At 47.6% G+C, this 23,039-nt stretch overlaps 1 long non-coding RNA gene across 4 annotated transcripts, besides 4 other annotated features; it reads right to left on the bottom strand.

The window, feature by feature from the left end:
- LOC105372853 (uncharacterized) lies at positions 24-21,961 on the bottom strand. 4 transcript variants are annotated; one of them, XR_951226.3, is made up of 8 exons: positions 20,800-20,892; positions 16,994-17,214; positions 7,707-7,762; positions 7,419-7,536; positions 7,098-7,153; positions 6,898-7,013; positions 5,332-5,413; positions 24-262 (listed from the first exon to the last, which is right to left on the bottom strand). It is a non-coding gene; the product is annotated as an uncharacterized LOC105372853 (long non-coding RNA). The 4 variants fall into 4 exon arrangements; XR_001755423.2 differs by lacking the exons at positions 16,994-17,214; positions 20,800-20,892 and adding an exon at positions 21,803-21,961; XR_001755422.2 differs by lacking the exon at positions 16,994-17,214.
- Positions 197-256: an enhancer, noted in NCBI's record as "active region_18647". NCBI's record gives its function as "activates an Ori minimal core promoter by ATAC-STARR-seq in GM12878 lymphoblastoid cells {active_cell/tissue: GM12878}" and the evidence as "EXISTENCE:reporter gene assay evidence [ECO:0000049][PMID:35858748]".
- Positions 6,614-7,813: an enhancer, noted in NCBI's record as "BRD4-independent group 4 enhancer chr22:18552873-18554072 (GRCh37/hg19 assembly coordinates)". NCBI's record gives its function as "activates an origin of replication core promoter dependent on BRD2, P300/CBP, MED14 and CDK7 cofactors, and independent of BRD4, by STARR-seq in HCT116 cells {active_cell/tissue: HCT116}" and the evidence as "EXISTENCE:reporter gene assay evidence [ECO:0000049][PMID:35650434]".
- Positions 12,396-12,485: a silencer, noted in NCBI's record as "silent region_13447". NCBI's record gives its function as "represses an Ori minimal core promoter by ATAC-STARR-seq in GM12878 lymphoblastoid cells {active_cell/tissue: GM12878}" and the evidence as "EXISTENCE:reporter gene assay evidence [ECO:0000049][PMID:35858748]".
- Positions 16,183-16,683: an enhancer, noted in NCBI's record as "H3K4me1 hESC enhancer chr22:18544003-18544503 (GRCh37/hg19 assembly coordinates)". NCBI's record gives its function as "activates a minimal SCP1, AML or CMV promoter by ChIP-STARR-seq in naive and primed H9 embryonic stem cells {active_cell/tissue: H9 hESC(naive and primed)}" and the evidence as "EXISTENCE:reporter gene assay evidence [ECO:0000049][PMID:30033119]".
- Positions 21,962-23,039: the final 1,078 nt, after the last annotated feature.

Here is a 23,039-nt window from a genome sequence, read left to right as displayed (position 1 = left end):
GGAAGTAGGAGGCAGAGCGCGGACTACAACCCCCAGCACGCCGCGCCCCGGAAGCCGCCCCTGTGCCGTGAGAAAACAAACTGGTGCTACAGCTTCGGGGTGCGGAAGTCAAAACGAAGCAAAACCGAAGCTGTCTTGTGAAATGGAGGGGTCCTCACTAACCAGTTCCAGCGGAGGCTAACGGAAGAAGTGCCAGCAATGGATGTGCAGCTACATGCACGCTTTTAATTCAGAGCTTCTGCGACGGTGGCGATCAGGGGATCTGTAATGTAATGTAATGTCAAGGCTGACGCAGAGCTGATCAAACATTTTGGCAACCTTAGTCTTGAATTGATTCACACTTTCTCCGCGTTGCCTCCGGAGTTTGCTGTAGGGTAATGAATATTGCCTGGTGAGGATGAGGGACTTAGGGTGGAAACCTTCACAAGGACCACTGAGAATATGTTGGTCCCAAGGGCAATGTTCCAAAATGAATAGTGACCCCACCGAGGCGGGGTTGGGGGCGCTGAGCATAAGGGCCTCATTTTTCTCACTGCTCTCTGCCCCATCCTGAATTTGCTGTTAAAAAACAACGTTAAATGCAGATACCAATTCCACTTCCCCACTGTTGTCACTTCCGATCTGTCTTTATATTTCTCCTTATCATTTATCACCATCTACATACCAATGTCTATATTTTACTTATTTTTATTGTCTATTTCCTTCCACTATGATATAAACTCACAAAGGCAGACGTTTTTGTCTCTTTTGTTCACTGTGGGAACCTCAATGCCTTGAACAGTGCCTGTCATCTATAGGTAGTCAAAAAGTATTTGTGGAATAAATGAAGTCCTGGTTTCACTTTTATCTGGTTACAGGGTCCAGACTTCTCTTTCCTCGGAGTCTGGTGGACTTGGTTCTGCCTCAGCTTCCCATGCAGACTTTTCTGCAAGAGAACGGAAATCCCAGAAGATGGATGTGTGCATGTCTGGTGACAAGGGCAGGGGATGTATGATGTGAGCAGGTGCCTGTTTAATCTAATTTCTAGGAGAGCAAAGATTCTAGGGAAGCTTTGGAGTGAATTCAAAGGGTAGAGAACTGGGGAGAAACTAAAGCCAAGAGGATCTAGTACAAATGTGGGAAGCTTGGCAAAGCCCGGGTGAAACAGAATATAATAATAAGTGTGATTTGTGGATCTGTTTAAAATTATTATTATAGTTACAATTTACCAAATACTCTGTTCCCAGTACTTTACTATAAAGTGCATTATGTACGGTATGGTTTTGTTTTTCACAATGTCCTTATTTTACATTGTGTAACTTGCTCATGGAATGACTGTGTATCCCCTGAATAGCAAACATACTTAGTTCTGTCCCTGCAGAGCAGAGTAGAGCTCAATACACATCTTTGAACCAAAAGAGCCTCGGTTTGACTGAGATTTTGTCGCTTACTAGTTGTGTGACCTCGGCAATTTATTTAAATAAGCTCTGATTTCCTCACCTGTAAAATTGGGATAACAGTTTGTCCTTAGCTCCCAATGGCTGAGGGAAGAATTAAGTAATATTGCGCATAAAGCGCCATGCGCATTAAGCACTGAAAATGTGAGCCAGGCCTGGGAAGACGAACATGCTCAGAAGCGGCCAGCTCTAAGCGGCTGCTGCCTGGAAAAGTCCCTTTCCTAACAAATTTCTTGCTATTCCAAATTTGTCCAGGAGATGGAGGCACAGTCTTAACAGAAGCAGCCTTGCTAAAAGTAAATTTGCCTATTTAGTAGTGAGACAGCCAGAATGAGGTCAAGATATTTAAGGCAGGAGAGAGGAGAGCTAGAAACCATATAAAAATATGATTGTATTCCATTTCTGATTCACCCAATTTTCAACTATTCCCGGGCTTCATATCAGTCCGTATGTAACCACTGTTTAGCACTATTATGCCCACAAATGGATTCCTCAACACACATCCAGTGGGACACATCATCTCCTCTATGTCTACAAGTACTTAGACTTTCTCAAGCGAAGACACAGAAATCCTAAACAGAAGCGAATTCATTCCCTCTGGGGGAACATAAATGCGTATTGTCTTTACTTAGCCAAACTTCTGTCTCTAAGTTGGAGCTCATGGGACAGCCTTTGAAATCATCTCTTCTGTCATTTCCTCATCTTTGAGACAAAAAACACAGTGGAAATAAGGACAGTCCTTTCAGATGTATAAGGCCAGGCCCATATTAATATTTGTATTGTTTGAATAGTTTTATTTTGGGAAAACTGGCAGAGCACCTGAGATGCCAGTATCCTCGTTACAACCCCTTCCCTAGCCCTACCTAGGCTCTGGAACTTGGGGTTGTTCCTTCCATTTGGCAGAGGGCTCAGTGTGGCTCCTTGCCTGAGGAGGCAGATTTGCTCAGCCTGCTGTAGCAGGGGATGAGTTGTTGTTTTTGTAGCAGAAAGCACACTGGACTGGAGATGAGAGGCATGGCTAGAATCCTGGTTCCTTCAGGTGGGGCACAGTGGTTCATGCCTGTAATCCCAGCACTTTGGGAGGCCAAGGCAGGAGGATTGCTTGAGCTCAGGCATTCAAGACCAGCCTGGGCAACATGGTGAAACCCTGTCTCTACAAAAATTAGCCAGGCGTGGTGGAGCACGCCTATAGTCTCAGCTGCGCAGAAGGCTGAGGTGAGAGGATGGGTTGAGCCCAGGAGGTCGAGGCTGCAGTAAGCTGAGATACACCACTACACTCCAGCCTGGGCGACAGAGTGAGACCTTGCCTCAAATAAAATAAATAAAAATTTTTAAAAAATAAAAAAGAATCCTGGTTCCTTCAGTGACAAAGCCAGGTGACCTCTAGAAAGTCACCATACTTCTTTGTGCCTCAGTTGTCTCATCTGAGGACACTAATACTAACACCTGCTGCATAGGGTGGCTGTGAAGAGCAGAAGAAACCATGTGACAGCCCATTGAACACTTGTCAATCACTGGACTCGTTCAGGCTGATGTAAGGCAAGAAAGAAGAAAGAATCTCAGCCCAGCGCGGTGGCTCATGCCTGTAATTCCAGCACTTTAGGGGGCCGAGGTGGGCAGATCACTTGAGGCCAGGAGTTCAAGACTAGCTTGGCCAACATGGTGAAAAACCATCTATACTAAAAGTACAAAAGTTAGGCAGGCATGGTGGTGTCCACCTGTAGTCCCAGCTGTTCAGGAGGCTGAGGCATGAGAATGTCTTGAATCTGGGAGGCCTCCGCAGTTGCAGTGAGCCAAGATTGGGCCACTGCACTCCACCCTGGGCAACAGACCAAGACTCTGCCTCAATTTAAAAAAAAGAAGAAGAAAGAATCTCATAGCACTCCGAAGTTCTGTAATATTACTTTCTGACCTAGAATCCAATTCTTTTTTTTTTTTTTTTTTTGAGACAGGGTCTCGCTTTGTCGCCTAGGCTGGAGTGCAGTGGTGCGATCTCGGCTCACTCACAGCCTCTGCCTCCCGGGCTCAAGTGATTCTCCTGCCTCAGCCACCCGAGTAGCTGGGATTACAGTTGCATGCCACCATGCCCAGCTCATTTTTGTATTCTTAGTAGAGACAGGATTTCTCCATGTTCTCCAGGCTGGTCTCAAACTCCTGACCTCAAGCCATCCACCTGCCTCAGCCTCCCAAAGTGCTGGGACTACAGGTGTGAGCCACCGTGCCCAGCCCTGGAATCCAATTATTGACTCTTCCATGCAAAAATCAAAAATGCCCACATCTGGCTGGGCACAGTGACTCATGCCTGTAATCCTAGCACTTTGGGAGGCCAAGGCAGGAGGATCACTTGAGCCTAGGACTTTGAGACCAGCCTGGGCAGCATAGCAAGACCCCATCTCTATTGAAAAATGTTTTCTAATTAGCTGGTCATGGTGGCACGTGCCTATAGTCCCAGCTACTTGAGAGGCTAAGGCAGGAGGATCGCTTGAGCCCAGGAGTTCAAGGCTGCAGTAAACTATGATGCGCCACTGCACTCAATCCTTCAAGCCTGGGTGACAGAGCAAGACCCTTTCTCAAAAAATAAAAATGAAAAGCCTACATCTGACGTCAACCTAGCCTGTCTTGCCTTCTCCACACTGGTTCCACATTTCAGGCCAATAAACAGCATCCACAGCTGTCCCTTCGAACATCCCAACCAGCCAGAGCCCCTCAGTACAGGGACATCTGTGGCAAAGCTCTGCATGCAATAGGTTCAGACCAAGTGTGGACCTTTGGCCAGAAGCGAGCCAAGGAGATAAGTATAGGTAGGGTGGAGATGATGTTTTTCCAGGATGGTCAAGGCACACCTCCCTTGCTCCAGAGGCTCATCAGTGGGATGGCATTTTTATGGCTCTTTTTTAAAGCCTGGACTAGGAGTTCAGGGCAGAACTCAATGCTTCCTATAGTGTTCCTCTCCTTGTAGACACAGCAGAACTCTGCTTCTGTATCTAAGAAGTGACCATCATAATCATCCTGTATAGTACTTTACAACAATAATAGTGATGGCTCAATTTATATGGTATGATATTAACTATGCACTAGGTGCTTTTCTGAGTGCTTTATTTATTTGTTTATTTATTTATTTATTTATTTAAGACAGGGTCTCTCTGTGTTGCTCAGGCTGGAGTGCACTGGTGCCATCACAGCTCACTGCAGCCTCAACCTCCCGGGCTCAAGCAATCCTTGTAACTCAGCCTCTAAGTAGCTGGGACTACAGGCACATGCCACCACGCCTGGATAATTTTTAAATTTTTTGTAGAGATGGGGTCTCACTATGTTGACCAGCTTGTCTTGAACTCCTGGGCTCAAGCAATCTTGCTGCCTCAGCCTCCCAAAGTGCTGGGATTACAGGTGTGAGCCACCACGCCTGGCCTGAGTGCTTTACATTTAACTCATTTGAATCCTCATAACCATATGATGAAAGTCCTAGTCTCATTCTTATTTTGTAAAGGAAGAAACTGAGTTATAGGGAGGTTAAATAACTTGTCCAAGGTCACCCAACAAGTGCATAGTGGAGCTGGGGGAGGTGTGCGGACTTAATCCGGACCACTGGGCTCCAGTCTTTCTTCTTAACTAGTATAATACTGGATCTACAAGGTACTTTTGCTTGTCTTATTTGACCTTGACAGCAAACCTGTGAACAAGGTCATACAGGTATATTATTATTATTATCCCTATTGATAGATGGGAAATGAAAGCTTGGAAACTCTGCCGAAGTTTAAAATCCATGGTTTCAGTGGCAAAGCTGGGAAGGAGGTTTCTCACCAGATCCCATGCCCAGGGGCCATGCTTCAAAGGGCCTCCATAGCTCCTCTTCATCTGCCTTGAAGGTGACTCCAGGAGCCCCTCCATTTCTTACCTACCCCAGGAGTCAGAAGATGCACTCAGGGAAGGCTGAACAAATCTTCACGATGCCAGATCAATTCATTCCCTCTCCAAGCCTGAAAAACGAAACCAGTAATGGGTGTGCACTGGGGATAATTCAGCCCTGGCTCTATTGTGGAAGGGTATAAAGATGCTCTCTCCTCCCAGAGTCTTTCCTGATCCTACCTGATTCAGGCAAATCACTCTTTCCCAATTGTGCTTTGCTTTCTTGATGCCTCACCTGTGGGTCCTTCCAAGTTTCCACAGTTCCTTATAGTTATTTGTGTCATTCCCCTACTGTACTGTGTTCTCCTGTGGGCAGGGACAGGGTCCCACTCATTCTGGGATCCTGGTGCCATCTAGCTTGGTGTGAAATAATAGCATGTAATGCTGCAGAGGGACCCCACCTCCCTTGTGCTCTTCAGTGTCATATGGCCTTGACTTTCAGGCACCCTTGCTGGTAAGCACTGTGTGAAAAGGTTGGAAGCTGAGAAGGTCCGTGCCCTGGCCCAGGCCTGCAAAAAGACAGACACTGGCAGGTGTTTCCAGATATTGATCTGCCCAGCCTGACTTCTTGTCTATGAGCAATTTGCAACTAGAGTTCTTTTCCTTATTTCCTAGAAATAATCTAATAAACTCAGTCACTCTGAGCCACAGAATTTTAGAGTTGGAAGGAGCTTTATACTACAGTCAAGGAGAAACTGAGGCCCCACTCGGCATCTGTTTCCGGAGTAGAGTAAGAAGGACACCAGATGCAACACTTAAAAGTCGGTGAAGTGAGGAAAACAGGTGTCTGTGTATATTTTTAATCAATGACATTTCAGTTCACTTCAAAAGTTAAGGGCTACTCAGCCAAGCTCCAGTCTACTTGGTTTTGTAAAGACCTTTCTCTGCAAGTTAGGATGTTCAGGAAAAATGACCCTTCCAGCTAGGTGTGGTGGCTCATCCCTATAATCCCAGCACTTTGGGAGGCTGAGGTGGGTGGATCACCTGAGGTCAGGAGTTCGAGAAAAGCCTGGCCAACCTGGTGAAACCCTGTCTCTACTAAAAATATAAAAGTTAGCTGGGCATGTTGGTGGGTGCCTACAATCCCAGCTACTCGGAAGACTGAGGCAGGAGAATCACTTGAACCCAGGAGGCGGAGGTTGCAGTGAGCTGAGATTGCACCATTGCACTCCAGCCTGCGCAGCAGAGCAAGACTCTGTTTCAGAAAAAAAAAAGAAAGAAAGAAAGAAAGAAAAAAGAATGACCCTTCCTGGGATTCACAGGGCACAACTCTTGGAGGTGTTAATCATATCGCACATCGTGTGGGTGGGGGTGGCGCCCCCTGGAGGTGTGCAGTTTTACAGTGTGCCAGGCCGGATGTGGCAGCCTACCTTGTTCCTGCGCCACACTAACATGGGTTTTGATGGCGAAGTCCAGACACATTCAGTTTTCTGCGGACACTCCCAGTTTGTGGCAACAGCAAAGATTCTGCCCATCCCCCCAGCCCCAGTCTCTTATCGTCCCTCACTGAGGATGGGCTGCTCAACAGACAGGCTGCCTCTAAGCAGGTACAGACCTGCCTGCGCGGAGTTCTCCGGGAAGAAGAGGATCCCGAATGGTAAGGCATGCAGTCACCATCCCTTCTATTTTGAGTCCTGCTGGGAAACTTGTTTGTTCTTTGTGCATCTGGTTCTGAAATGTAGCGGGACAGTGGAAATATATTACAGGTAGACTCCACACACCCTTCCCCTAATCGCTCATGACAGAGGTGATTACCTGGGCAGCATGAATGAGTAGGTGAGTTCATAGTTCTCCTCTCTGACAGCCAGAGTCTAAGGGATCAGAAAAACAGAGATGGAAAAACAGGAATGACATGTTACCATAGCAAACAAGGAAACTCATGTGTACACAGCCTATGATTGAAACCACCATGTTATTATAGCCTATGAAATAAACAGAGATGAAAAGGCATCTCTCTTCTTCCCTTCCCAGGGCCATCTTGAAGGGACTCCTTCCCCTCTGACTTCCTGTCACAGGCATTTGTCATTATGATTTTCGCCAGCTGCTCCTGGTTTTCAGAAACTCCATTTTCCATACCTGAGAAAACCTTCTGTGGGATTAGAGGAAACTATGGATCCAAGGTTTTACAAACGGGAATCTGGTTGTTCAGTATCCACTGTCTTTTGTCTTTTGTTTTTGCTTAAATGATACATACCTAAAGTAAAAATAATTCAAAGACACAAAAGTACAAAGAGAATGAGAATCATCTGAAATCCTACCACTCCTAATAAGAACTTTTAGCACTGTGCTGCATATCCCTCCACAAGCACACACAATGAGCATGCGTAGCTACACAGAGTTATGCCACTCTGCACCCTGACTTACCCATGGTGCGTCAGGGGAGTCCTTTCTATTCTTCAATTGGATATTGGAATTACTACCTAAAACAAGAAATCAAACAATCCCGCTGTTACTAATAATGACTTAGCTGTTTACAGTTCTCTGTAGCTAAAAAGCAAGTATACGTCCTTGATCCCATATAGTCCTGAAGCTGCAAGGAGAACTCTGGGGTGCCCAGCTCCCTCCTTTGTATGCTTCATTCTCCTCATCCTTCACATTTGTGTGGTACTTTACAACTTAAAAAGCACTTTCACATTATTTGATTTGATTATCATGAAGTGAGATGATCAAGCATAAGATACGTAAAAATGATTGCAGTGACAATGATAATAGTCATAACGATATTTATCGAGAAATTAGTGTGTGCCAGGCTCCATGCTAGGTCCATTACATGCATTGATGCATTGCTTCATTTAATGCTCATTATCCCCATGTTAAACATCATAGAACTATGGCTTAGAGAGGCTGAGTAGTTTGATCACATTTCCACAGCTAATCCAGGTGGAATTCTAATCCAGGTATCTCTGACTTGAAAATTCCTTGTTATTAACCACTGCATCATACTGCCTCTTATAACGACTGATCTTTGTGCAGTACTTTATAAAAAAACCTCTAGATTATATTATTGTCTCAATTTTATAGCTGAAGAAACTAAGGCCGGAGAGGTTACATGTTTGCCTGAGTCTCAGAGCTGGGATCCTAACCAGTTTGATTCCACCTCTGCTGCTGTTTCCACTGCACTGTACCAGACTCTCTCCTCAAAGAGAAGGTGCTGGGTGTCAAAACTCTTCTCTCAAGTCTCCAGAAAGGGGAGTCCTTATTAAGATCTTTCAAAAATCCTTCCTGCTGCAATGAAATCTGTGTGCCTTTTTCTATGGGAACAAAGGTCAGCCTCTTGCGTGGAGACTGAGTTCTCATGCACTAGTTGGGAAGAAGGAGATAAAGTTCTCGGAGCTCCAGTCTGATCTAGGTGGTTTCTTCTTCACAATGTTCTTGTGTGTTTGGCATAGGGCAGAGTTGGTCTGTCTTACTCTTTTTTTATTTTTTTCAGAGAGGAAGGAGGGAGACTGTTTATTCTTGAGGATATGAAACTAGAGATGATACAAAATAGAAGGAGATGCAGGGAAACCATTTAAACCCAGGGTGAGTGGAAGGCACATACAAGGAATTCCACGGCATCTTTTTTGACTTATAGGCAAAGTGTCAGTTTATGGAGGTATCTAGGCCATTAATATTTTCCCCTTTAGAGATAACAAGTGTTATTTATAAAGCACTCTTTTCTAGAATGAACTCAAAGCACTGAATGGGTGCTGCCTAATTACTCCACCCAACAAACAATCAGGCAGCCAGGAAAAGAGAGAGAGAATTATGCCCATTTTACAGTTTGGGAGACTGAGCCATGAAAAGAGTGAGGCCTTGCTCAAAACTAGCTCATGGAGAGCTGAAAATAGAAGGCAAGCCTCCTAATAGCACCCTCGCATCTCACTGTGTACAGCTTTCCTGCTTTCAGATGTCCTCCTGAGAAAGGAGAGCCTGCTTGCTGGCCAGAGAAAAGCAGCCGACATTCTCTGGTGACTACAGCTCCCAGCAGACACCGAGAGGAGACAGGGCTGTGCCCCTAGTACCCATTCCAGATTCCCAAATATGGAGAAGCACTGGGTTTTGGAAGAGGAATGGAATGTTTACCCTTGAGAGACAGAGAGAGAGAGGATGAGGTAAGTTTGGAATATTTAACTCTGTCACCTAAATGCCTGCCTGGTCTTTGAAATACAGCAGCCAAAGTCATGATCTTTTAATACATCTTTCTAGAAGATCTCACTTTTTAAATCCAGCAGTTACTTCAGCAGAACACTGCTTTCTCCTAGGATTAGGTGTGTGATGATGGGACAGTTGTAGTTCCAGGAGGCCAGATACCCTTTTTCTGACGCTGAGCAGCTCAGAAAGTGATGGTGGGAAGGAAACCCAGGTGAAGATCTGCTCTGCTGCAAAAGGAGCAGACGTCCCCGAGGCTGTGCTGCTGGCAGGCTTGCCGAACCAAAGGACCAGCGGCCTGGGAGGACAAGGGTTACTCTTTGTCTGCCTGGGAGGCTGCTGAGCCCGCCTGGTGGGAAAGGCGTGAAAGAACTGTTCCCACTAGCTTGGTCTCCATTCTGTCAACAAATGTTGACAGAAGCACCTTTGCTGGAGGCACTAGGCTGGATGCTGAGGGGGATGTCTGACACAGAGCAGATCTCTGCCCTCAGGAGGCTTCCCCTCGGGGGAGGATGGAAAAGGAAAGATGGAGCAAGGAAGAAAGAGACAGACAACATAGGGCAGCGTGTGCTTACACCTTTCATTCAGTGTTTATTTACCCGTCGCCCACCATGTGCCAGGCGGGCACTGTTCTAAGCCACTTGGAATGCAATTGTGACTCTGCCAAAAGAAAAGGCTTCTGCCCTTACAGATCTCACTTCCTGGCAGCCCCTGATATCTGGGGGAAGAGTTCTTCAAGCAGAAGTCACAGCAGCAAGTGCGGGGCCTTGAGAGGGGTGTGAGGGTGGTGAGCATGCGAGCAGAAGGCCAATGTGGTGGGAGGAGAGTGGACAAGGGCAGGAGCAGGAGGTGGGAGAGCCAGGCTGGGGTCAAAGCACACAGGGCCTCATAAGGATCAGGAGGAGGGATTTCTTTCTAACTGTAGTGGAAACCAGTGAACTGTCCCCAATGAGGGGAGCAGACTCTAAAAGAGTCTGGAGAATGGTGCAAGGGTGTTGCTGAGCAGGGATGGACAGGAGGATGGATTCCGATCTAGAGAGAAGGTGCTGCCATCAAGAAGACCTTCAGAAGCTGGGTGTGGAGCCAGGCCAGCACATGGCCTGTCCAGACCATCCATCTGTCCAGAGACATGGTCACATGGGAAGCAGTGGATGGCGAGGCTGGAGAGGGGGGATCAGGAAGGTGTTTGTTTGTTTGTTTGTTTGTTTGTTTGTTTTTTGAGACAAGGTCTCACTCTATTACCCAGGCTGGAGTGCAGTGGCACCACCTAGGCTCACTACAACCTCCACCTCCCAGGTTCAAGCGATTCTTGTGCCTCAGCCTCTGAAGCAGTTTCACCATGGTGGCCAGGCTGGTCTCAAACTCCTGGGCTCAAGTGATCCACCTGCCTTGGCCTCCCTAAGTTCTGGGGATACAGGTGTAAGCCACTGCACCCAGCCTAAGTAGGAAGATTTTTGAGTCAGAAGGCTCTGAGCCTCAGGTTAACAGTAACAGGGAGACTTGGGTACATAGAGGCATTTTTCACAGACTTAGACGTCCATCTGAGAACCTGGTCTCCACCAAGAGGCCACCATTTTCCCCTAAGAGATTTGTTGCTTTGGAGGCTTCTGAGTGCCACATTGAAACCAAGGTGGCTGAGCTGCACAACTCCAGTGGCCCCGTGGACTTTGTATTGTATGTGAAAGGTGCCCCCAGTGCATAACGTAAACCACAGGGCAAGGCACCTGGTGGCACTGTGCGATGGCAGAGGCACCGTTTAGCATTTGGAGGATAAAGTGTCAAACCCACCAACAAGGACACACGGCACTTTAGTCACTCCCTTGACCCCTCGACCCAGCACAGCTGGCTGCAGAACAGGAAGAGGAAGGGGGATGAGAAGAACCGGGTGAGAGAGAGCTGAAAGGGAGAACGGAAAAGAGGGGTTAAAGGAGTAGGTAAGGGAAGGAGCACTTAATTTAGGTCATTCTTTTGCCTAGCAAAATGTGAGAGGGAAGTGAAAGATTGAGAAGAAGGGTAGCAAAAAGGGAGAAAATGATTGCGCAGGTGGCTGAGTTGCAAGTAGTTTTAGTAGAATTGTCCACAGCTGTGATCACTCTGGTGCAATGTGGCATGCATCACGTCCTGCCAGTCTGTGGAAATCAGGGCAGTAGCAAGGTGCCGAGACTGCAGTGTTGGGGATCTAAAGAAGACCCTGCCCCTGAGGAAGACAGTTGGCTTGGAGCCATCCAGTTCCTGGACATGCAGGATGAGCCGCTAGTCCACATTAAGCTCCCCACCAAGGGGTCTTATCCTCACTACTCCCTTTCTGTCTGAATTTGGGGAGACCATGGTACCACCCCAATAGATCAGAGCTGAATAAATTCAAAGCAAATGACAATCCCTGCCATGCTGCTGCTTCTCTCAAACCCCAGCAGCCAAACAGATAAAGGACTTTGTATGAAGAGGGAGCAGCAGACTGCTGTATGGGTGGCAGGGATGATGTGATGGGATTGGTGTGTTCTCTGCCCAGTCAGATCCATTTTCAATTCTCAATAATAGCAAGTAGCAATAAAATATTCTCTTAGACCATCACATCGAGGTTGCGTACTTCCTTGGACATGCAAGACCCGGCAGATTGTAAAGCGAGCCACGGTATTTAGGAGCCAGGACCCACATGCCAATGTCATCACCTCTCCTGCCTCTCACCCCACCTCCTTTCCAGAGCCATTGAATTTAGAGCAGTGTTGCCCTCTGCTCTCTGCACCAAATGCAACTGGCATACAGCTGCAGATATGGCTGCCATGCCCCATCCATCCTACAGGTGCCCATTGTCAAGTGAAGAAATGCCTGACTTTGGAGTGACAGCGTCAGAGTGTGTGGAAAGAATCCTCCTATCCCCAAACCACCCGAGAATTACATAGCTGTGCCCCATCATGCTGGCTAAGAACCTCTGCCCTCCTGCCCCCGCCTCTGCCTGCACCTGCATGACTTGCAGCTTAGCAAGCCTCTGAGCGATGACACAGCTTTGACCGACGGGGGCCGCCACTGCCTGCCCGTTGGTGGGCACAGCCAGGAAGACTCCTTCAAGGAGCACACGCTCATTTCATCCATCTCCTGGAAGCAGCTTGCCCATGTCCCTCAGGACCCAGCCCCTGCCTGCCTTCCTGGCCTCATTTCTCACTCCTAGTCTCCTCCTCATACCCACAGCTGCAGTCATAAAGCCCACCCTGCCACTGTCCTGGCCCACTCTGCCCTCTCTCAACCTGGGACTTTAAGCAAATGACTCCTTCTTCTTGGAAGCCCCTCTCTGCTTCCTGGACAGGCTGACCCCTTTTAACCCTCCAGAGTTTAGCTCAATTATCACCCCTTCTGGGAAGATTTTCCTAAATCTCTCCTTGCCTCTGTCAGGTGGGTGACGAGCTACTTGTCTATCTTCCTGTGGCACCCTGTACTTACCTGCATTGCAGCCTGCTCACCGTCTGCTTACGGAAGCAAATCCCACACCAAACTATTAACTCCTGCAGGGCTTTGCTGCGCATTTTATTTCTAACTCCTTACCTAGCTAGGCAGTGAATATTTCTTGAATGAATGATCAGGATCCCTTGGCCTCGTGAGTAACCAGGTCTCCACTAGCGAGGTAAAATAAAGAAGTAAGGCTGTGATCTCAACCTTCCAGGCCAGTCACCTGTCTTATCAAGCACATCTGCGTCCTGGAGTGTTGACTCCTGCACCCGCACTCTAGGCCCTCCCTTGGCCTCCCCCACCCAGTCCTTATTCCCACCTCTGCCACCCTGTACCCTGAGGCTCCCCTTGGGCACTCTGTGGCTAAGAAAACAAAAGTGTCTCTCTGGTTTACCAAAGAGAACGTGCTATATCCTTGGATAAGGCCTTCCTTTCCCCCCTTCTCTTCCTGAGTTAGGAGAACCTGGGCTGCACCCTTTCCAACTGCTGGATCAGCCTCTGCCCGCCTCCCACCCCAGCCCCCACCTGAATGGGAGAGGAAACACAAAACCTCAGAGAGGGTCTGGAGGCAAGAAGCAAATTGAGTTTGAAAAACGGGACTTGGCTGGGTGCGGTGGCTCACACCTGTAATCCCAGCACTGTGGGAGGCCGAGGCAGGCGGATCGTTAGGTCAGGAGATTGAGACCATCCTGGCTAACATGGTGAAACCCCGTCTCTACTAAAAATACAAAAATTTAGCTGGGCGTGGTGGCGGGCGCCTGTAGGCTACTCAGGAGGCTGAGGCAGGAGAATGGCGTGAACCCAGGAGGCGGAGCTTGCAATGAGCCGAGATTGCGCCACTGCACTCCAGCCTGGGCAACAGAGCGAGACTCTGTCGAAAGAAAAAAAGAAAGAGAGAGGGAGGGAGGGAGGGAGGGAAGGAAAGAAGGAAGGAAGGAAGGAAGAAGGAAGGAAGGAAGGAAGGAAGGAAGGAAGGAAGGAAGGAAGGAAGGAAGGCAGGCAGGCAGGCAGGCAGGCAGGCAGACAGACGGGACTTGTACAAGCAAAATAGGCTGAGAATATCAACATTCAGTTAGGAAAGCAGAGGGGAGATGTGATTGGACGCTGCCGTCCTAGAGGCCTCGTTCAGGCAGGTTGGGAACGTACAGCTGGAAGAAAACGTTAGTCAGATATTAGCAGGAACCATCTTGATTTACTCAGTGTTTTAACAGATTTCCACTGTGGGGATTGTCTCCTTGGAATCAGAGTTGGGAGTGAGTGTGAGACCCCTGGAATCCCTTTCTGCCCTGGAATTCTATGCTCTAGGCCAGCGGTGGCCTTCCTGGGACCCAAGTTCCGTTAAAGCTATTTTCATCAGCAGTAAATTAGCTAGTCTGGGAGGATGGGAAAGTAGTGCTTCTAAAGGAGGCAATTCACTAGGTCAGGATGCCCTGGGGCAACAGTGGAGCAGCTTTGGATCCCAGAACAACAGCCTCCAGTGTTCAGGATGCGGTAGGTTAAGTGGGGAATCTCCACAGAGCCTGACCCATCCTCAGAGCGGGCAATACCAGGACCCCCGGATAAAACCGCAGAGACTTCCGAACTCCCTGGGGCTAACAGCTCACCATTTGTAACACTAGCTATTCAAGGAATGAAGCTTATGGTGCAGGCTTAATCTTAACAATAATCCTGGCTATTGCCATTAGACTGAAGCTCAGAAAAGTTAAGAAATTTGCCTGACACTACAAGCTAGTAAATGGCAGGGCCAGATCCTAACCCAGAAATGGGACATCAATTCGGCTATACCACATCACCCCAACTCCCAGTGCTCCTCCCAGAGGAACCGATTCAGTGAGTTGGCCGGTGGCAGGGATGGTCTAGCCTAAGCTCCACAATTCCCTCCCCAGAATAAAAGGGAAGACCGAGATCTCAGTGCCTATCAGATTTATGTTGGTGGCACACGAGCGCTGCCTCTGAAGACAAACATATGTGAAGCTCCCGGTGTCCTTTTTCCTGGCTGGGCCAGGTTCTTTCAGCAAGCAAGAACTCACTGGGCTGTGCAGAAAAAGCAGGGTTGGAGGGGAGAGTCGAGCTAAAGAGGCGTCTGAAGTAGTGGAGAGAGCCCTAGGCTGGGTCAGAATGTCTAGGTTCTTTTTCCGGTTAGTGCAGAACAAGTTACTTCCTCTCCAATCCCCAGAATCTTTATCAAGGAAAAGGGTGTGGGGTGGTGAAGAACAGAGGTATTAGCATAAGGAAATGCCCACTATACTGACCTTGCTGGGTTATAAGGATAAAATGCAATCATTACTGTGAAAGAACATTGACTAATATGAAGTGCTGTATGTAGTCATGTTTTATAAAATCCTTAAGCTCTTGTATCATTGACTCTCCAGCTCAGTGTGTTTCATAGCGAGGTGCTGGCGCTCAAATGGCCCAGCCTAAGCATTGCAATGCCCTAGGGTTCTCTGTGATCTGTTGATCATATCATCCAACCACATCAAAATCTTGACAAGATCAGTCCTGCCTGGCTGTCCACTCTTGAACTCTAGACTCCTGATATTAACCTCAGTCCCACTTTTCTAAACAAGTTGGCCAGGCACGGTGGCTCACGCCCGTAATCCCAACACTTTGGGAGGCCAAGGCGGGTGGATCACCTGAGGTCAGGAGTTTGAGACCAGCCTGGCCAATATGGTGAAACCCGTCTCTACTGAAAATACAACAATTATCCGGACGTGGTGGTAGACGTCTGTAATCCCAGCTACTTGGGAGGCTGAGGCAGGAGAATCGCTTGAACTTGGGAGGTGGAGGTTGCAGTCAGCCGAGATCACGCCATTGCACTCCAGCCTGGGCGACAAGAGTGAAACTCTGTCTCTAAATAAATAAATAAATAAAACAAGTCAAGTTCTTTCTCATCACTGGACTTTGCAAATTCCAAGTCCATAATTCAGAATACTTGGTCTGATCATCCCTACCCCACATCTAAGGTCAGCATGTCAGCATTCAAAAAGCAGAGACCAGCAGGCATGGTGGCTCACGCCTGTAATCCCAGCACTTTCAGAGGCCAAGGCAGGTGGGACACTTGAGCCCAGGAGTTCAAGACCAGCCTGGGAAACATGGCAGAACTCTGTCTCTACCAAAAAGAATACAAAAATTAGCTGGGCCTGGTAGCAGGCACCTGTAGTCCCAGCTACTCAAGAGACTGAGGTGGGAGGATCACTTGAGCCCAGGAGATGGAGGCTGTACCTATTATTGAACTACTGCACACTACTCCAGTCTGGGCAACAGAGTGAGACCCTGTCTCAAAAAAAAGAAAAAAAAAAAAAAAGCAGAGACTGTCTTGTTTGCATCATATATTGCAATATCAGTGCAGTGCAGAATGGGTGTCAGTAATTGCTTGATGAAATGTGAATTTCCCTTCGATTTCCCTTCCCACCTCTGCCTATTTTTTCCTTGCTACTGAGATGGTGATTGTTCTGACCTCATTCTATGGGGATGCCACAGAGATTAGCTCATTAAAAATGGTGAAGCTCTCCTGACACTTTGTGTTAATGTTTAACAAAAATAGCTGGGGGTGTAATGACTCAGGGAGACAACGAGAAACCCTTTGACTTTCTTAGACTGGCAGGACAACAAGTTACCCCCGTTCTCCTCCCACACACACTGGCTCTGTGGGAGCCCTGACCCTTGCCCTCAGTGCCTCCCACCCTGCCCTCTCCTCTGGGCAAGGCACGTTCCCAGCCTTAGCCTGGGAGGCTGAACCCCACCCACCGTCGCCTTGGACATGGCCTCTCCCTCTGGGAGATTCTTGCAACCATGAGATGGCTGGAGCTTTTGGAAGCATGGCAGAGTCTGGAGGCCACAGTCACCTGCTGCTGAGGTTCCCGTGCCCCTGCCCCTTTTCCAGATCAGACTACGGAGCTGGGGCACGTGAAGAAGGGCAGTTTACTTAGTTCTTCCCTAGGATGGAAAAAGGGAGGGGAATGGTCACTGGCAGTGAATAAATTAAAGACCCATGCCAGCTGGAGACCATTGGGGAAAAACAGCAAATCTGTGAATTATCCTGTTTACACCAGAAGTAAACTGATAGTTTGGACCTTTACCTAATAGATTGTGCTGAAATCACAGGCCATTCACGAGGACAAATGCATGGAGCTGTGCCTCTGCCCCTCCATATTCATTGAAGACTTTGGCACCACTTCATTCCAAGTCTTGCCATCATCGTGGGTAACTTCAATGTCCAAACAGACCAACTATTTACAAACTCAGAATCACAACCCATTAATGTGTCACGAAATTGATTTCGAGGACTGTGGCCAGCAATCTTTTTTTAAAGAAACAGAGTAGAAAGAAAATATTAGAGTACTTCACATGTAAGAAAGGTGGTTTGGGGGTAAAATATTTATTTTAATTATATGTATAATATAAAACATATGCCAATAATAGGTTATTTCCATGACATAATACCTTCATGTGTAATAGGTCATGGTGTAAACTACTTTTCTTGTTGTGGGCCATAATCAAAAGTCTAAAAGAGAAAGGAGTATATACAATGGAATGTTATTCAGCCTTACAAAGGAAGGAAATTCTGATACATGCTACAAAACAGTTGAACCTTGGGGACATTTGTGCTAAGTGAAATAAGCAAGTCACAAAAGGACGAATATTGTATGGTTCTACTTTTATGAGGTACTTAGAATGGTCAAATTGATAGAGACAGAAGTCTGGAGAATGGTGGTTGCCAGAAATCCGGAGAATGGTGGTTGCCATGGGCTGGCCAAGGTAGAGGGGGAGGGATGGGGAGTTGTTTAATGAGTACAGAGTTTCTGTTTTGCAAGATGGAAAGAGTTCTGTGGCTGGGTGGTGGTGATGGTGGTACAACCATGTGAATGTACTTAATGCCACTTAACACACTTAATGTTCTTCATACAATGTACTTAATACACTTAAAAATAGTTAAGATGGGGGGCCAGTCACGGTGGCTCATGCCTGTAATCCCAACACTTTGGGAGGCTGAGGCGGGCAGATCACGAAGTCAGGAGATCAAGACCATCCTGGCTAACACAGTAAAACCCCGTCTCTCCTAAAAATACAAAAAATTAGCCAGGCTTGGTGGCGGGTGCCTGTAGTCCCAGCTACACGGGAGGCTGAGGCAGGAGAATGGTGTGAACCTGGGAGACGGAGCTTGCAGTGAGCCAACATCACACCACTGCGCTCCAGCCTGGGTGACAGAGCAAGACTCTATCTCCAAAAAAAAAAAAAAGGTTAAGATGGTTAATTTTGTGTTACATATATTCTACCACATTTTTTTAAAGCCCTAGGAGAAACCTCCCACATCCTTGACCTCATGTCACATGACCTTCATCTCCACTCATTTTTCAGCTCCATTCTGAAGGCTACACCCTGGTCCCAGCCATCATCAGAAACTATTTTATCTTCCACTCTCTGATCTCAACATCCTATCTTTCCAACTTTCTCACTCCTTTTCTTCCTTCTGTAACAATGGTCCTATCTGCTTGCATCATTGAAACTCTTGACCAATCTACCGTCTCCTAGTCAGGCCACCTCCATTCCTCCCAAAATTGCTGCAACAGTCTTGCTGGTCTTCCTGACCAGCGTCCTGCCCACTCCAGTTCATCCTCAACATCGCATTAGGAGTGACATCTCTGACATTTCAATCCGATCTTAACACTCCCTATTTAAAACCTCTCAGAGGCTCTCTATTGACCTCAAGATAAAGTCCAAACTCCCTAACAAGGCAGACAAGCTGGGCGTGGGGTGGCTTCTGGTTGACATGCCTCCCTTCTCCCCTGTCCTCCTGCATGGGCAACGTGTAACCTTTAACTTTACCAGCAGGTCTTGCAGTGTACTGAGCTTTCACTTTGCTTCTGGGTGCTAGGGTCCTCCCCAACCCATTCCTTCTTCATTTGGCTAACTTCTATCACTCAAGCCTGGGTTGGCGAGCACTTCTAAGAAGTTTCCTTCTGTCCTCACCAGGCTGGATCTGGGGCCCCCAGGTGAGGTCCTGCAGCACCTATGCCTGGCCAGATCAGAGGGCTCACCGCTCTGCACTGTAATGACCTGTTTCCTTCTCTCTCCACCCTGACCAGACTGTCATCTGCCTTCCCACATAGCCAGGCACTGTGTGAGATTCATCGTGGCATCGCCATGCCTGTTACAGTGCCTACCACAGAGTAGACATTCTCTGAGAGGCAAGTGGGTGGGTGGACAGGAGGTTGTTCGAATGCGTGGACTACACAGGTTTTGAAATTCAAACCTGGGAATCAAGTTCCATCAAGAATTTTTAGCTGGAAACACATTTGATCAAGGATGGTTTATCCAAATTAAGAATAGTTTCTGTCTTTGTATAGCACTCAACAGTTTATGGCCCGCTGTCATATTTGTGATGCTGTTTAACACACTTAATGACCTGTGAGTTAAGAAGGAAAGCTATCATCATTACCACATTGTAAATGAGGCCCCTATGTTCACCCAAGGTCAGAGAGTTAGTGAATGTCAGAGCCAGGACACATGCTCAACATCTTCCTTCCACTTGCTCTACCCTCTACCCCACTGCATTTAACTTTTAGGAATAAAAACAATCAGAATAGCTAATCCTAATATCAGAACCTTTCAGAAAACAGGGAATATATATTTTCTGGCTTCTGTGGGGTTCTACCAAGGTCCTAGTTCTCAGGTACTTAGAAAATATTAACTAGCTCCACTGCAGCAAAGCTATCATTGATGTGCCTTGCTTTTTCACATTTTTTAGAAAAAGAAACAAAAACAAGTACCCCGAAAGATCAGTGTCTAACAACATATGGAAATAATGCCTTATATCCACCCTACATCTCTGCAGTTGCAAATCAAGCCCAATTTCTTTTATTTGGTTTTCAGTAGAGAGAAATAAATAAAGCAGGAATATCATTTCTATCCCATCTACATCCAAAAAGGCATAAAAGAGAAGAGTTTATCACTATTCCTCATATAAATAACCTCTTCCATCTGCCTGCTGTAGTCTAATTTAAGTAGTCCTAATTGTATTCGCATAGGACCTATTTTCCAAGTATTCATTTTATTTGTTCTTATATGGACTGTATCCAATTGTTCCCAGTCTCTTTTACCTTTAAAGCCAAAACTGGACATGAGTCACCAGTAAGTTTCTAGTTAAAGCCAAGAACAGTGAGAGGATGACGTCATGGGCCTTGAGCCTTGCTCATGATGCTCATTTGAGTGTGTCTCAGGCATATGCAACTACACTGTGTGTCCCCAGAACAAGGCGAGCACTGTGGGGGCTCAGGGCTGCTGCTTCTGCCCAGGGGGAAGTACAGAAAGAGCATCTAGACTACAAAAAGCTCTTCCTCTTTCTCCACATATGCACCCCATAGTCACTTTGGTCTCTATCTGGATCCGTTAAGCACCCATAACCACCTTTTGCAAAAGTGAACCTAGGCTGGGAGAGGTGGTTCGTGCTTGTAATCCCAGCACTTTGAAAGGCCAAGGCAGGAGGATCACTTGAGGCCAGGAGTTCAAGACCAGCCTGGGCAACAAAGCAAGACCCTGTCTCTATAAAAAATTTTTTTAAAGTAACCAGGCATGATGACCCACACCTGTAGCCCCAGCTCCTCAGGAGGCTAAGGTGGGAGAATCACTTGAGCCTGGGAATTCAGGGCCGCAGTGAGCTATTATCATGACACTGCCTGGGTGACAAAGCGAGACCCTGTCTCAAAAAAAAAAAAAAAAAAAGAAGAAGTTGAGGGGCACCAAAGACACAGTCGGCACAGTGCTGCCTTTGCTTGGGTGTCGCCTCTTTATGCCTCCTTGAGCCCACAGCCTTTCCCCGACTGCAGGAACAGATTTCAGCCCACCCACGGTCTCTCCTTGCCTGCAGGGTCCCCATTCTCCTCACCTGACAGAGCCTAGCTTAATGGGTCCCCGAAGAAGAGATTCTCTTGCTGGGCCAGCAGGTTCCTACCCGAGCTGTGCATCTTAGTTTCACTGTGAGTCACCGTGGGACCGCAGGCAAGGTCAGATGCCCCCAAAGGTAGTCAGGTGTCAGTCCACAGGTCTGTGGGGGTGGTCTGTACTAGTTTCCCTGTGATGGGAGGGCTGGAGGGAGGCCTGGCATCAGGAAGCACATGACTGGCACAAAGGGGAAAGGAATACCAAGTTCCATTTTCCTCTGCAAGGCCACAAGACACTGCTAAGAAAAATTATCACAGAGTGCTTAGCTGGAGCCGGTGTTGTCTATTTTCTTATAATATTAATTACTGCCTTGGTAACTATAAGTTACAAACTGCTTGATTTTAAAAGAGCTCACAGATGAAAGCTAAAAGAAGAAAAACAGAGGAATTTGAAATCCCACACAGCTAAGAGCAACAGATAAAAGCTGCCCCCCTGCAAATGCAAATCTAGATGAAGAGAAAGTAAACAAGATAATGCCAGCTAGGGTTGTTCAAGGAAACAAGAGAGTGTTCTATAAATATAACCAGAAAAAAAAATATTTGTCTCAGCAGATGAGATCACCACACATGGCTCATGATAGAGATCTTTTGTTGCTCCCTTAATTGAAGCTTGGAAGAGAGCAGAAATGACAGCAGAAATCAGACTACTGCCCACAAGGTTCCAATGGGCTGGTCCATGTTTAACTAAGTGCAGCTGAAGTCATGAAGACTTGATACCATCCATCTGAACTGTGGCCTGTGTCTCACTGACATATGGGCCCCGCCCTTCCCATCCACCCCCTTCCTCAGCACCAGACTGGCTATGGCTCACCCACACTGAGCAAATCAGGGGCAAAGCCAGGAAGGGACACACAGCCACGGGCTGAACGCAAGCCTAGGGGCAGGGAAAGGCCGAACAAAGCCCCAGCCTCCACTTTTCAAGGACTTCCTTTTCTGAAGGCTACTCACCGTGTGGGACAGGAGCTGGAGCAGAGCTGGAGACCTCCACCCATAGCCAGTGCCTGCTGCATGCCACATGAGCTCTAGGCATTGGGAATACGGCAGTAAACAAGACAAGTCCCCAGCTCTGGGAGCTAGAGATGAAAGGCTTCGGGGGTGGTTGGAGATAGACAACAGAAATGACGACTAGCCAAGATAATTTATGTACTGATAAGTGTACACTGAACACAAAATGCAGATAGAGGCCGGGCATAGTGGCTCATGCCTGTAATCCCAGACCTTTGAGAGGCCGAGGAGGGAGGATCCATTGAGGCCTGGAGTTTGAGGCTATCATGGAAGGAGGCGGAGCTTGCAGTGAGCTATGATCACACCACTGCACTCTAGCCTGGGTGATAGAGTGAGACCCTGTCTCAAAAACAAAACAAAATGAAACTGCAGCTAGAGAGTGATGTGGGGCTCCTTTAGCCCACAAGGTTAGGGCAGGCCTGTCTGAGCAGGTGTCAAAGTTGCAGCCTGAAAGGTGAGGGGGCTGCTAGGTAGCATGGACCATTGAGTGGAAGGGCTCAGAGTCAGAAAAGAGCTTGGTGTGTTCAGGGGACAAAAAGAAGGCCCATAGGACAGTGCCACGGCGACCAACGGAGAGGAGGGAAAAGAGCGGCAAACGCCGGCAGGGTCAGCTCTGTCACTGCAGGCCACCAGAAAGGGTTTGGATTCTGTTGGGTTTTTTAAGGGGAAGAGTCCTGTGATGTGGCATCTACTTTAGAAAGGCCATTCTTGGGCTGCTTTGTACAGGATGGGCTAGAGGGGGCCAAGAACGGCGATAGGAAGAATAGGTAGGGGTTTTGGTACATGGAAGAGAGGAGGGTGGCCTAGATCTGGGGGGAGGAAGTGGAGGTAGTTAGCAGTGGGAAATGCATTTTGAATGTAAAAAAAATGGAGCAGACTGGCCGGGCGCGGTGGCTCACGCCTGTAATCCCAACACTTTGGGAGGCCGAGGTGGGCAGATCACAAGGGCAGGAGATTGAGACCATCCTGGCTAATATGGTGAAACCCTGTCTCTACTAAAAATACAAAAAATTAGCTGGGCATGGTGGCGGGCGCCTGTAGTCCCAGCTACTCGGGAGGCTGAGGTGGGAGAATGGCGTGAACCCGGAAGGCGGAGCTTGCAGCGAGCCGTGATTGTGCCACTGCACTCCAGCCTGGGTGACAGAGCAAGACTCTGTCTTGAAAAAAAAAAAAAAAGAAG

This window comes from Homo sapiens, chromosome 22, assembly GCF_000001405.40.
Source record: "Homo sapiens chromosome 22, GRCh38.p14 Primary Assembly".
Lineage (NCBI taxonomy): Eukaryota > Metazoa > Chordata > Mammalia > Primates > Hominidae > Homo > Homo sapiens.
Note: the sequence above shows the minus strand (reverse complement) of the source record. Positions and strands in the feature narration are given on the sequence as shown.